Genomic DNA, 14,531 nt, shown 5'->3' on the forward strand with positions numbered 1-14,531 from the left:
GGAGATGACATGAGGAGATTCTGTTAGTGGGAATGGTGATATATTACCTTAATGATTTCATTGCTTGCCAAATAAAAGAAAAATTCTCACTGTAGTGCAAAGCCCTGTCCTCATCAAGCTATTCATTGTGAGGCGTTTGTTGTTAAATCGGAGGCATAAGGAGGGGTTTTGACCTTCCATAAGCTGCTTTTGAATTTTTATTTTTTTCTTGGCTAAATTGATGGTCTGTTTTCTTTTTTTAGTAGACATACGTGAACATTTGTATATTGAATATTGAAGTTTGTTAATAGATTTGAAGAGCTCTTAGATTTTTTTGGCAGGTGGGTGTTGAATTAATGGAATGTTTCACAATAGAGTTCAATGAAAGCTCCCCTCCACTATTATGCTAGTGTTTGGAAGGGCAGGCGACTTTGTGTGTGTGTGTGTGTGTGTGTGTGTGTGTGTGTGTGTGTGTGTGTAGGGGAGGGGATGTTTTCATGTGAGCTGTGGATAAACTGAACAAATTTAATTAAGGTCTAAACTGAAGTAGGATCCCATAGTCTAGGTAGGATCCAAGGGACTATTTTCTCAGGGCTGCTGGAGGTTGGATAATCTGAATTATAGACAAGGAGGAGTCCAAAGTCTTAGTTCAAGGATGGCACCAAGTGACAAGTCCTGTGATCTAGCAGAAGCAGATGGAGAACTAAGAAGAAGATCAGAAACTAAGATGACTTGGAGCCAACTAGAATGAGATCATGGATAGACAGCCTTGTAGGCTAGACCTAGGGACAGGAGAATTAGAGTCTTCTGGATTTCCTTATTACATGAACCTGACAGTGGCTGTTTAAAGAAGCAATGCAGGGCCTGACAGTAACTCCTTGCTTGGCTTCTGCTTACTCTGTGTAGTCTGCTTTTTCTAGTAGGTTATCCAGATTTCCAAAGTGGTGGAGTCAGGTTTGCATGGTAGAGCTTGGGAACTGAAGGGGACCATTGTGGTCATGGAAGTCATGAGCATCATTTTCCAGTTTAGAAGACTGAGGCCTAGGGAGGACAGCAGTTGGGCAGGCCCAACGAAAAATCCAGTTTAGGAGGTCCGGGGAGGATAGCAGTTCAGGAGGCCTGGGGAGAACTCCAGTCCAGGAGGCCCGGGGAGGACAGCAGTTCAGGAGGCCCAGGGAGCACTGCAGTTCAGGAGGCCTGGGGAGAACTCCAGTTCAGGAGGCCGGGGGAGGACAGCAGTTCAGGAGGCCAGAGAATGACAGCAGTTCAGGAGGCTGGGGGATGACAGTAGTTCGGGAGGCCTGGGAAGGACAGCAGTTCAGGAGGCCAGGGGAGGACAGCAGGCATACCCAAGGCCTCTCAGGCATTGCTGTGCTTCCTCACCCTGCAATGCTGCCGCCACATCCTGTTGCTCTCTGTTTGTTTGATTGGAGTGGCTCTCCTGAAGCTGGGCTGTTTGCATGCTTGGTAGGCCCCCTTCCTGAATGTGCCAGCCAGCTCTGGAGCCCTACTCAGTAACTGTTTCGGATGTGATCCTCATCAGATATATTTCTACCTACTAGTTGTGTGACTTTGGGCAAGCCTCTTCACTTCTCCAGGTCTCAGCTTTTCGTAAGTAAAATGTTGCAAGGTCTCTGTGGACCCTTTCAGCTTAAGCATGACATGTTCTGTAACTAAGGAGGCCCAGTTATAGAAGCTCCTGGTGTAGCTGACAATGTGAATACAGTCAATCTCAGGAATCTGTGGAAATGGAAGTGATGGCTTATACTTTGGCTCTTCACCCACCTGAAAGATCACGTAGAGGAGTTCTCTAGGCTGCAAGCTCCTTGAGGCCAGGGGCCATGTGTCATTCATTTTTACACATCCAAAGCCATCAGGCTGTGTGGTGAATTGTGATGTTTAGTAAATTGGGACTGACTGAATATGAAGTATTACAGAATTTCAGATGATAAGACATACTTAACATAGACATTGCATAAGCATAACACATGTGCCTAGGACATGCCTCCTCAAAAGTGCTCGCTGAGCTCCATTGCAGCAGGGACCACACCTGTCTTATTTACCACTAGGTCTCAAGTTCCTTGAGCATGACTAGGCACATAGAAGTTGTTTGGTATGTTTGCTGAATAGATGAATGAATAAAGATATGACATGAAAGAAGCGTAGTTGAACTTTCCAAGGTTATTTGGATTATTTGGTGAGAGAATATAAACCTGGAAAAGAGAAGAAAGTAGGAAACTTGGTGGCAATACACCTAGTTTTGCTTTCCTTCCACCCCTAAGCTGTGGCTGAAATCTCTTGTACATAACAGAAAGTGACAACCAGCAGCCCCATCTTCTAGTTGACATTGGTCTGCAGATGGTTTCTAGTGTATGACTAGGTAAGTATAGAAACAGAGCATATACATTAGGAAACTTTTACAGAAATTGGACACTGCATGACACCCAAGCATGTGATTGCTGGATTTGTTTGGCTGAACAGTGTATGGACCAGTTTGTATATTGCTAAAGTCATAAATGAATTGCACATGGTGTATACTGCACACCAGTCCTGTATGGTAGGACCACAAATAGGTCTATGACATATCAGGGAAGAAATTATCCTGCACCACATAACTAGAAAGAAACTAGGTGAAATCCTTGGTTTTGTAGCCTAGCAGTCATATTTTTATTAAAATATTGATGATCTTGTTTGTCATGTAAAGCTGTTTCTGACTCATCATAATCACATATTTTCTATGTTGTTGATTTGAGAAGGACTGAACTAGCTACACCCCCTCAGTCAACCAAGTTGAGTTATAATCTGTGTGACAGTGTTTTTCTCTATTTAAAACTAGCTAGTCTTGCATGGCTATTTAACTCACTCCTTTGGCCTCATTAGTATTATCCTATAATCAAATAAGCTAATTAAGCTGTTTCCTATCCACTGATCAGAGAATATTAAAGCTCGGAAGGTGACTCTAGCTATCCTCTGCTCCAGCTCCTTCATTTTTCAGAGCCAGTTAAGGCTCAGAGAGGTTAAGTAAAGTGTCTCAGGTCACACGGTTATTTATAAAAGAATTGGGACTAAATCGTCAGGGCCCTTTACTCCTAGGTTCTTGTGCTTTTCTACTTTATCCTGAAGTTTAATAAAATTCTTTCAGATTTTATAACATCCAAGGTGTGTCTCTGTTGTGGTAAGTTCTGGGCCGCTATTTGATAGATGACCTAGAATGGACAGATTTTGCTTGCCAAATAATTATAGATGGTTCTACCTTTAAGAAAACTTGGTATCTGAAATTATGAACACAGGGAACGAAGAGGTGATTTTATATATAAGTATATATACATTTATACATAAATGTAATATTTATATATAAATATATGATTTATGTAAATAATAACAAAATAATATATATGAATGAATTTATAGAAAAATACTGGCTTTGGAGAGATGTGGTGACTGCTATTCCTTATAGTCTCAAAATGAGGATAAAGCTTTACATAAAATTATGTATTAATGGAAAAATAATGGAAAAATAGGATACAAATATATTGGTACACGCACATTTTTAGAAATGTATCTATAGGAGAAAATGAGACTCTTCTATGAATTAAACTAGGGAGTGTTGACGGAGGCCTGGGTGGGTGAATTTGTTTCCCCCGAACATCATCTCTGTCTTAGCAGGCTTCAGTGTGGTCTAACTGAGGTGTTGGCAAACTTTGACTTGTAAGCCAAATCCTGTTGCTACCTTTTTTTTTTGTAAATAAAGTTTTATTGGAACACAGCTGCACCCATTTATATACTGTCATCTGTGACTGTCTTTGAGCTGCAACTTCAGATTTGTGTCATTGTGACATATGCTTTATGGCCTGCAAAGTCTAAATGTTTACTATCTGGCCCTTTACAGAAAAAGCTTGGTGACCTCTGGTCTAGATGCATATCTGGTTCATATCACTGATTCTACTACCATAAGGCAGGGGGTCTTCATTTGGAATCTCACCTAGCTGAGTTCTGATAGGGAAGGAAGAAAATGAACTTTAATCACCTTGCTCAGAAGCCTGTTTTAAAATCCAGTCACCAGCTGCCGGTTTTTAGTTTACCTATGACCTCCTGGAGATCCTGAGAGAATGAAATTAACCACCTCTGGAACAAACATCCGATCTTTTTATTTTTTCCACTTTCTTAAGAGAGTAATAAATATAGTCAATGACTCTGGATTCTATTACTATGTAAGAGCTCTTTAAAAACATCTAACCATCTGCTTAATGGCCAGTAATACGTTTCTAATGGTCACTCTCGATAAGACACTTTTAGTTCACTCCTGTAATCGTTGTCCAACAGCCAAGAGGCTCCTGAAGAATATGACCAAAGGCCAGCCCCAGCCCCAGCCCTGTAGCCACAGAGGCCTGGCAACAGTACTGAAGAAAAAAAGAGAGAGTTCTGAGAGCTGCATGTGGAAACTCTTTTCTTTCTCTTGACACTCTCCGCGTATGATGAGTTCGTGATCCACAATAGTGGATCTGAAAACTTCGATTTTTTTTGGCATTTACACGTTCAGGTACAGTTGCAACTAGAGGTCAGTTTAATTAATATCTGTCCTTTCCTCTCAGATGACATACACTGAACCGTTGTCACTAGAAACTCCACATCCCTGATCTGGGCCCAGCAGCTGGTGACAGCTTGGCAAATTATGAATTTCCTAGCTTAAAACAGCCTAAATTGCAGACAAAACAAGCCATCAGCTGAGTAAATACTGTATCTCTGTTTAGCTTCTGTAAGAAGAAGGAGATTAGCACGAATGTTTAGTGTTCATAATTACTAGTAGGAAGCAAATATTAGGCTCGGGCTGACTGGAGATTATTTCATTATATCCAATTAACACCCACTTGATTATTCTTAATTACTTCTGCATGATGACAGAGGAGTAAAGATGTCGTACTTCAAATGTACAAATAACATCTGGGCCATCAACGTACATGTATTTGTAATATAATATCCTGCTCATTTTGGGATGGCTAATATGGTCTTAGCAGAGGGATGGAAAATGAAATGACAAGATTCTGGTAATTACTAAGCGGGTCTTAGACAAGATGCCAAAAGTAGGTATTAGGATAAAAATGGGCCTTTTGTAGCAATCTAGTTTAGACATGTTTTCTTTAAAAATGCCTTATTACCTTTCTGTGTAAGAATTTCTTTCTTCCTCTGCCCATTGACTATAGTACAAAGATATAAATGGAAATAGCTAAGTGCAAACTTTCCAGAAAAGAGTGAGCTATATGTGTGTGTGTGTATACATGTATGTCAAGTGGTATGAATGGGAATCCCTGCTCCAAGGGTGTTTGTGGAGTTTTGAGAAACTGAGACAAAATCAGCCTGTGTGCGAGATTCTTAATGACCTGCCTAGTAAAGAATATGAAATGTTAGCAAGTGATGTAATCTCCCAAGCATGTGCGAAGGATAAATACAGTGAGCCAGATTTTCAGGTTCAAACCTGAAATTAGAACCACCTTTAGGAACACTAGAAATCATCTTTCCTTTCACAAGGAAAAATATGAACAGGTCCTTTCCCTTCAGCTATTGTCTTGAGTTAGAAGGAATTGCTGGTAGAGCATAGCCTTGCTTTTTGGAGTAGAGATTATTAGAGTCTTAGGTTTCCCCTCCTTGCTTTCTTCTGGTGTTAGGGGTATTGCACTGTCAGTAACATTGCAATGGATTATTATTTTTTTTCCAGGATCAAACTTTGGTATTAAATCATGCTTAAAGATGGAGGTAACTGTGAGCAGCAAGAATGGTGAGATTGGGTGATTGTGCAATTGTGCCAGCACACGCCTAGAACTGGCAACTTACTAAAGATCAGAGCTGAACTTGGAGAGGTGGCATGTGGGTACCAAACAAATCCGGTTGCAGCTCTTGAAGTCACTCAGCAGTTAGTTATTGAGAACTTGCTTGTGCAGAGCATCAAACCAGGCACATGATGGGGGTGGAATGGCCCAAGCCCTCCCCAGCTGGAGAGACAAGACCATTCTATGATATGGTTATGTTTAATTAATTGCTAAATTGCATGGTTCAAACTAAGGGCTATAGAGGTTTGGCCAAGAGGGCTGGGCTGATCAAAGAAGAATAAGACTCTAAGACTGGGACCTGAAGGGTAGGTGGATTTTAGCTGGTTAGAAGATGTTCTGGCTATTGGTGCTGTAAAGGATGGTGGAAGAAAAGCCTGTTCCATGTAAGCAGAAACATGGCCCCCTTATCCTCTGATGCAACCCAGCTCAGGCCCAAGGACTGGCGACCTCAGTAGTCCTCACTGTAAGCAAACGCAAAGCTCACATCTTGAGATGGAAGGGACATTGCAAAAGGAGAGGGCCCCAAGGAGATGGTGTTAATGAGGATTCCCTGGTATCTATTTCCATTATGAGGGAAGAGACATTGGAAAATCTGTCAAAGTCAAAAATTCATAAGTATATTTAAAGATTTAAGCCTGAAATGGAATATCTTAGGCAGTCATTTGAATTCTCTCTCTATATATGTGGTGGCTGATATTTAAAAGGCACACAAAACATTAAAAAATTACTTTGGGAATAGCATACCCTTCCCTGAATAATAAAGAGGTAATATCAGGGAATAGAGTAGTGTCAGGATGTAATCAGTTCTCACCTGACAAATGATGGCCAGGGCCAGGGTTATTCATCTTTGCTGGTGATATATGAAGCCGATCCAGGGTTCTCAGAGTTGGACAGAAGGGGTTGTTTGGCAGGTGGTGTGAGGGTCCTGAAGTTGGCTGGATCTTGGTAGTTGTGTTCATTTTGTAGGTGTGTATATGTGTGGGGGTCATGATGATAGTGAAGAGGACCTGTACCATGCTTTACAAAATGCAACAAGATTGACTTGGTACACAGAGGTAGAAGCTTGGATGCCAGCTGGCCATGGTATAGAGCTACTGTAGTGTTGTGTCATGTCATGTTGCACATGGCATGCTTGGCCCACCTGAGAAAACTGCCAGGAAGCTGTTGAAAGTTTCTTGGCCTATGGCTGGGTGTGGTGGTTCATGCCTATAATTCCAGCACTTTGGGAGGCTGAGGTGGGCAGATTACTTGACATCAGGAGTTCAAGACCAGCCTAGCCAACATGGTGAAACCCATCTCTACTAAAAATATGAAAATTAGTTGGCCATGGTGGCATATGCCTGTAATCCCAGCTACTCGGGAGGCTGAGGCAGGAGAATTGCCTTGAACTGGGGAGGCAGAGGTTGCAGTGAGCCAAGATCGCACCACCGCACTCCAGCCTGGGCGACAGAGCTAGACTCAGTCTCACAAAAAAAAAAAAGAAAGAAAGAAAGAAAGTTTCCTGGCCATATTGTGTTGTGTAGCGTAGTGGCTGGCCCACCTGAGAAAACTGCCAGGAAGCTGTTGAGAGGTCCCTGCCCTTCCCTGTAGGAAGAAACAAGAATGGATTTGGCTTAATTACTGCAGACATGTGTCTTATAGCCCCTTGCTACCACAAGTGTAGTCCATAGACCTGCAGCATTGGCATTTTCTAGGGGTTTGGTAGAAATTCTGATTGTTGGGTCCCATCCCAGTTGCTGAATCAGAATCAGCATTTTCAGAGGAGACCTGAGGGAGGGGAGCAGAGGAGCCATCTTGATGTCTGTGGAGGTAACAGCACACACAAAGCCTTGAGGCAGAAGCTTGCTGGTGACTTTGCAATTGGGTGAGAAGGTCATTGTGGTGAGATGGGGAAGCAAGGTACTACTTCAAAGGCTGGGTCATGGGTGACCTCAAAGGCTCTGGTCAGGACTTTGGGTTTTATTGTATATTAGAGGGGAAGCCATTGAAAGGCTTTGACATAATTTGACTTGATTTTAGACTCCTACTGATCACTCTGGTTGGTGGATCAGAGTGTGATTGCCATGGGGGTAGTGGGACATGGTCACATTCTGGATGTTTTAGAAGAAAGAGTTGAAAGGATTGGCTGACTGGAAATACCATGTAAGAGACAGAGATGAACAACAGGAAGAGTGGAGGTGCCATTTACTGGCAAGGAGGGGCAGATTTGGGGCTGAGAATTAGGTTCTGGACATATTAAACTGGAGATGCTTATCAGCCATCCAAATGGAGATGTCAAGAAGGTAACTGAATTGAGAGGACCCCTGTGGGGAGGGGTCAGGACTGGAGCTAGAAACTTGGGAGTTTCTGTCAGTATGTAGGTGATATTTAAAGTCATGAGGCTGAATGAGATCACTTCATTCCCCACCAGATACATGTAGGGAATTAGCGTGACAGTGATGATCAATGGGTTTTGGTGATCATGGTGGTATTGCTGGAACTTAATCAGCTCTAATGTCCTCTGATTCCATATAGTGCGCTTGCTCGTTATATTCCTTGTCTATTCTCATTTTGAATGTAATTTTAATATTCATCAATTGCAGCAAAAGGAAGAAAATATGTTATTAACTGGACCCTTCAGCTTCTGCCTGTCTATGCCAACTCCAGTGCACACTAGGGAAACCTGGACTCCACACTGACTGGGATGTCCCTGTCACCTTGAATTGGCTCAGCCCAGGGAGCTCTGGGTGGCAGGGCCCTGAAATCCTGCCCTATTGCAGCACAAAGCAGGATGGATGAGATATTCCAACTCACTACTTACAGGTGTTCTTTAAGGGAGCGCTTAGGAAGTTTTACTCAGTTTAACTTAAGACATAAGTAATACCATTCCCAATTCAGGGCAATGGCTTAGAACCTGACTCAATGTCCTTTTTACTAAGTAATTATCCAGATTTCCTTGCTAAATGTTATTTTATATATTATGTTTAATAGCCTCTTTCTTTTGGCTATGGAAGGATGGTAATAGCAGCCGATAATGTATCACATACTCATCTCAAAGTTCTGCCTCTGGCACCTGTGGCTGGAGTAGAGGGAAGCTTGTGGTCAGGCCTCAGACAAATTCCATGTCCCTACTCACTGGTCCTGGGTTGGTTCACTTCTCAGGGGCCTAAGGAATCACAGATAACTTTTTAACCTTTAAAACATTCCTCATTTTTAAAGATTTGGGTAAACCTATAGAGCTCATCTGGCCAAACTGCTCCTTTGCCTCAATTCAGAGCCCCCATGGGACAACTGTGGGTAATAGAAAGCCCTAGTAGAGAGGAACTGAGCAGCATAGACTTTTGGGCAATGGTTAGATGTCATAAATGCATGATAAAAATTAAGCCACCACTGCATCTCAAGATAGCCAATTCCTTTTAGTACCCTGAGGCTGGCTTTCAGTAAAGGTTCACTGGGTTGGACTCGTGTGATAGGAATTAGGTTACTGTGTTGTTTGTACAGCGTGTGTTTGGTAGCATGCACATGGGCTTCTTAGTGACGACCTGGTGATGCAAACAGTCTTCCAGTAGCTACTGGACACCTACTGTTTGCCAGTTGACCCCCTAAAGAGTTACTGAGGGCTCAGTGGGTGCTAGGCATATAGATGACACCAAAATATTTGTCATTGATCTCCATCTGCCCTGAAATTATGTTCTCCAGATAGTCAAGGCTAAAACCCACATCAAAAATATGTATGAAAACCTAAGAGAGCAGGGAATGACATTGGCCATTGTATTTATAAACAGGTTAGACGTATTTCCTGCCCTCAGAGACTTTCCAGTCTAGAAGGGAAGCAGAGTATATTTGCATGAAATGCCAAATAACAGAATAATGCTTAGTATTAGTTTGAAAGCGGAAGTGGCAGAGCTTCCAGGAATCCTGAGGATGTGTGAACCTTTTGGCTACATCTCAGAATCACCTGGTGAACTGTTGAAAACTGAGATGCCTGTGCCCAGCCCCAGACTCATTGGGCATCTGTGTGTTGAAAAGTTCCCTGGGCTGGGCATAGTGGCTCACACCTGTAATCCCAGCACTTTGGGAGGCCGAGGCGGGTGGACCTTGAGGTCAGGTGTTCAAGACCAGCCTGGCCACGATGGGGAAACCCCATCTCTACTAAAAATACAAAAATTAGCTGGGCGTGGTGGCATGTGCCTGTAATCCCAGCTACTCAGGAGGCTGAGGCAGAGAGTTGCTTGAACCTAGGAGGTGGAGGTGGCAGTCAGCCGAGATCACACCACTGCACTCCAGCCTGGGTGACAGACTGACTCCGTCTCACAAAAAAAAAAAAACAAAAAAAAAAGAAAGAAAAGTTCTCTGGGTGATTCTTTGTTTTTTTCTTTTTAGAACCTGATAATACTTGATTTTTTAATTTTGTTTTTTATTTTTCCATAAGTTATTGGGGGTACAGGTGGTATTTGGTTATATGAGTCAGTTCTTTAGTGGTGATTTGTGAGATTTTGGTGCACCCATCACCTGAGCAGTATACACTGCATCCTATTGTAGTCTTTTATCCCTCGTCCCCCTCCCACTCTTCCCCCCAAGTCCCCAAATTCCATTGTATCATTCTTATGCCTTTGTGTCATCATAGCTTAGCTCCCACATATCAGTGAGAACATACGATGTCTGGTTTTCAGTTCCTGAGTTGCTTCACTCAGAATAATAGTCTCCAATCTCATCCAGGTCTCTGCAAATGCCGTTAATTCCTTCCTTTTTATGGCTGATTAGTATTCCACTGTATACATATACCACAGTTTCTTTATTCACTTGTTGATTGTTGGGCATTTAGGTTGGTTCCATGATTTTGCAATTGTGAATTGTGCTGCTATAAACATGTGTGTGCAAGTATCATTTTCATATAATGACTTCTTTTCCTCTGGGTAGACACCCAATAGTGGGAGAACCAAAAGTAGATCTACCCCCAGTGATTCTGATACATAATGAAGCTCAAGAACCACTGCTTTGGAAGGATAGTTGGTGTGTGGGTGCATGTATGGAGATGGGCATTGTAGCCTGGCATGAGAAAGATGTGAGAATGCCATAAGATGGGGAGCACTGCAAGACTGCTTGGTACCATGCCCCTTTGCTGACTACACACCAGAGACAACCAGAAGATCTAAGCGTTTCAGAGGCAAGAGGCAATGAAGAGGAGAAAACCACAATTAAAAGAAAAAACAACTTTTAGATCATCAGTAAACAACTGAGTGTGCTAAGTACTAGTCTAAGTGTTTTGTACTTACATAATCATCATCATAAACCCACAAGTTAGGTAATACTGTTTTCCTTACTTTCAGATGAGAAACTGGTTAAGTAAATTACCCCAAATCATGTGGTTTCCTGGCCTGGAGGGTAGGATTTGTTTGGATGAAAAGTGGAAATCCAGTGGGAAAGGGACAGCTTTCAGAAGAACTTGAAGTCCTGGAGAAGAGATTGAATTTTATCCTGAAAGCCACAGGGAAATCCTGTGGTTACCACCATCCTTTATGTGACCTTACTCTCAATAGTGAGTGTTTGGACTTTATTCATTGGATGATGGGCAGCTTTTGAGCCAACAAACAACATGGGGAAAGTGGTGTTTTAAGGTGAATCTGTCAGGTGCTGTGTAGATTCAAGTGGAGGGTACCTAGAAACAGATTAGCTAAAACTAAAACCATTTCCTAAAACACCACAAACAACAAAAGTGAATATTGATTGAGCCCTCACTATATGCCATGTGCTGTCCTTTACATCTATCATCTTCACAAAAACCCTGTGAAGTACATACTCATCATGTACCCATTTTACAGGTTAGGAAACCAAGGTACAGAGAAGTAACTTGCTGAAGGTCACACAGCTGGCTAGTGTCCAAGTCAGGATTCAAATTGTGTTGCTTGATTCCAGAATCTAGGTTACTGTCTACTCTGTTATAGGCTCTTATATCTCCTAGGACTTTGGCAGTGATAAGTGGAAGTGGAAATAGAGATACATGACATAAAGAGTAAATGTCAGGTATTACATGATGCTGGAATAGTGTGAGCATGCTTAGGAAATCCCCAGCAGGGAAGAGTTCCTTGCACAAAGAAATTGAGTAGGGTTTAGAACAGCACGTGAAGGAAGGCAGAAGGCCTTTCTGAAATAAGCGGGTTTATGTTTAGAACATGGGAGAAGAGATAGCATAGGAAATTGCCATTCTGATGGCCCTGCATGTACTCTGATAAAAACCATGGAAGTTGTATGAGAAATGAGTATGGTGAAGTGAGTAGATTTGTTGGTTTTGGAATCAGACAGATGTGGTTGTGGGTTCCAGTCCTTTTCTTACTAACCTGTGACCTAGGGCAGTTTGCATAATCTCTGCATTTCAGTTTTCCCATGTGTATATTGAGGATAATAGAAGCATCATCCTTATTAAGATATCATAAAGATTGAGTTCATGTATGGAAAGGAGATGAAAAATATGACATATTCCATCAATACCAGCTATTACTGTTATGCTTCTCGTTATTACAGTCATTCATGGGTGTTAAAACAGAATAATGAGATCTCTATTTTGGAGAGAGTACTTTGGTGTTAGTGGGTGCAACACAAACTCAAGAGCTTCTAGGTTTCCAGTTCTGGCTCCACCTGCTAGCTATATGATTTGGGGTAATTCACTTAACCAATTTCTCATCTGAAAGCAAGGAAAACAGTATTACCTAACTTGTGGGTTGATGATGATGATTATGTAAATATGAAACACTTAGAATAGCACTTAGCACACTCAGTTGTTTATTGATGATCCAAAAGTTGTTGTTTTTTCTTTTAATTGTGATTTTCTCCTCTTCATTGCCTCTTGCCTCTGAAACATTTAGACCTCTTGTTGTCCCTGGTGTGTCACAGGGGCCTGTGGCCTGTGGCCTGTGGTGTTGCCCTTGCTGAATCCTATTTAACTGTTGAGAATGTGTCTGGGTAAGTAGTCATTGCTGCCTCAAAACATAGATTCATGAGCAAAGTGACTATGAAGATTTGATGTGATATGTGGGTGATGATCACACATAAAGGGCACAGCACATAGGTTACAGGAATTTCGCTGGGCTGTGAATTTCTGACATCAGCCTCCTCGTTTAATATTTATCCGCCCCACTTCTCTCTTACTTGGGACCTGTACTGAGGCATGGACCTTGTTCCACAAGGGACTGAGAGATAACAGTGCTAACTCTGAGAGTGTGCATTTGTGTGTGTGTGTGTGTGTGTGTGTGTGTGTAAGAGAATATTAGTAGCCTAAAGGGAGATCTCATGCTGCTTTGCTTTGTTTCATTTTTTTGGTTGTAAAGTTGAATAAAAGGCACTTAGTCCAAAACTTCAAAAAAATTGCTACTGGGCAAAGTAATTTTGTGTCAGGCTTCTGTTCAGGGCAGATTTACACTGGTTATAAATCTCTGAAATTAAGGTCTTACCGTAGAAAAGCTGAAATGTATTCAACATTAGCAGACACCCAGCCCTGTTCTGAACCAGTGGCCATTCTTCCGCCATGTATAATAGCAATATCTATCTATGTGTTTGGGGGCAATAATAAGTTTAAATATGCCTCTTAGAATGGGTAATGGCTCTCCAATGAGTAGCAGAATTTTCTATCAACAATTCTTTTCCTAGAACCAAAGGTTAAGTTCAAGAGTTTGATTTAATGACAAAGTTAATTAGGCCCTTAACATTACAGGTTTCTTGCCTTTCATTTTCTAATCAAGATCATAGTCTAAGGTCAGCAACCTTGCAGAAGTGGGGAACACAAGGCCAGCACTTGTTCTTCTGATGTTTGGGGAGGGTGACTGTAGGAGATGAGGAGTGCTTAGCAATCACTGAGTTGACAAAGGGCCTGGAGAATGCCTGCTAGACCTGAAGAATTTCATTCTTACCTCTACCGAACCTTAGATATAAAATATGCTTGAGCTTTAAGGAAACTTAAGGATTATCTAATCAGTCCTTTCATTTTACAGCCAGGGAAACTGAGGCTAAAGGGACTAAGAAATTTCTCAGTGGTTACATAGTTCACTTGAGGCAGAGTAATGGATCTCCTAAGATTAAACCACCTACTTCTAATCAAAATGATCTATCCTCAAATACTCATATTCAAGGAAAAGCAAAACCTCTTCTTGGCTTATAGGATTTATGTTGTTTATGAGCTAGTTTTGCTAAAGCACTTCTTCCTGCCTTTTTTTTTTTTTTTTTTTTTTTGAGACGGAGTCTCACGTTGTTGCCCAGGCTGTAGTGCAGTGGCACAATCTCGGCTCACTGCAACCTCCACCTCCCAGGTTCAAGCAGTTCTCTGCCCCAGTCTCCTGAGTAGCTGGGATTACAGGCACCCACCACCACGCCTGGCTAATTTTTTTTTGTATTTTTAGTAGAGACGGGGTTTCACCATGTGGGCCAGGCTGGTCTTGAACTCCTGACCTCATGATCCATCTGCCTTGGCCTCCCAAAGTGCTGGGATTACAGGCGTGAGCCACTGCGCCTGGCCTTCCTACTACTTTTTAAAGCAAATATATTCCATTTGATCTTGGACCATGATAAACCAGTAAAGACTATTGGTTTGAAACAAAGAAATTGCCTGTTGCTACTTAGTCCAAGAATTTAAAAAATAATAAAAAAAGAAGGAATCCATTAGAAGAACCTTAGGGATTCTCATAACTGGTCAGAGATTGAAGGACCTGGTAAGGGAAAGGGAAAGATATCAAAGCAGGTCCAGAAGTTCTAGAAAGA

The 14,531-nt window shown here is 41.9% G+C and overlaps 1 protein-coding gene across 3 annotated transcripts in view; it reads left to right on the forward strand.

The window, feature by feature from the left end:
• LRMDA (leucine rich melanocyte differentiation associated) overlaps positions 1-14,531 on the forward strand; it is a 1,128,545-nt gene that overhangs the window by 452,211 nt on the left and 661,803 nt on the right. The window lies entirely within an intron of this gene.

The sequence above is a fragment of the Homo sapiens genome, chromosome 10 (genome assembly GCF_000001405.40).
Source record: "Homo sapiens chromosome 10, GRCh38.p14 Primary Assembly".
Taxonomy (NCBI): domain Eukaryota; kingdom Metazoa; phylum Chordata; class Mammalia; order Primates; family Hominidae; genus Homo; species Homo sapiens.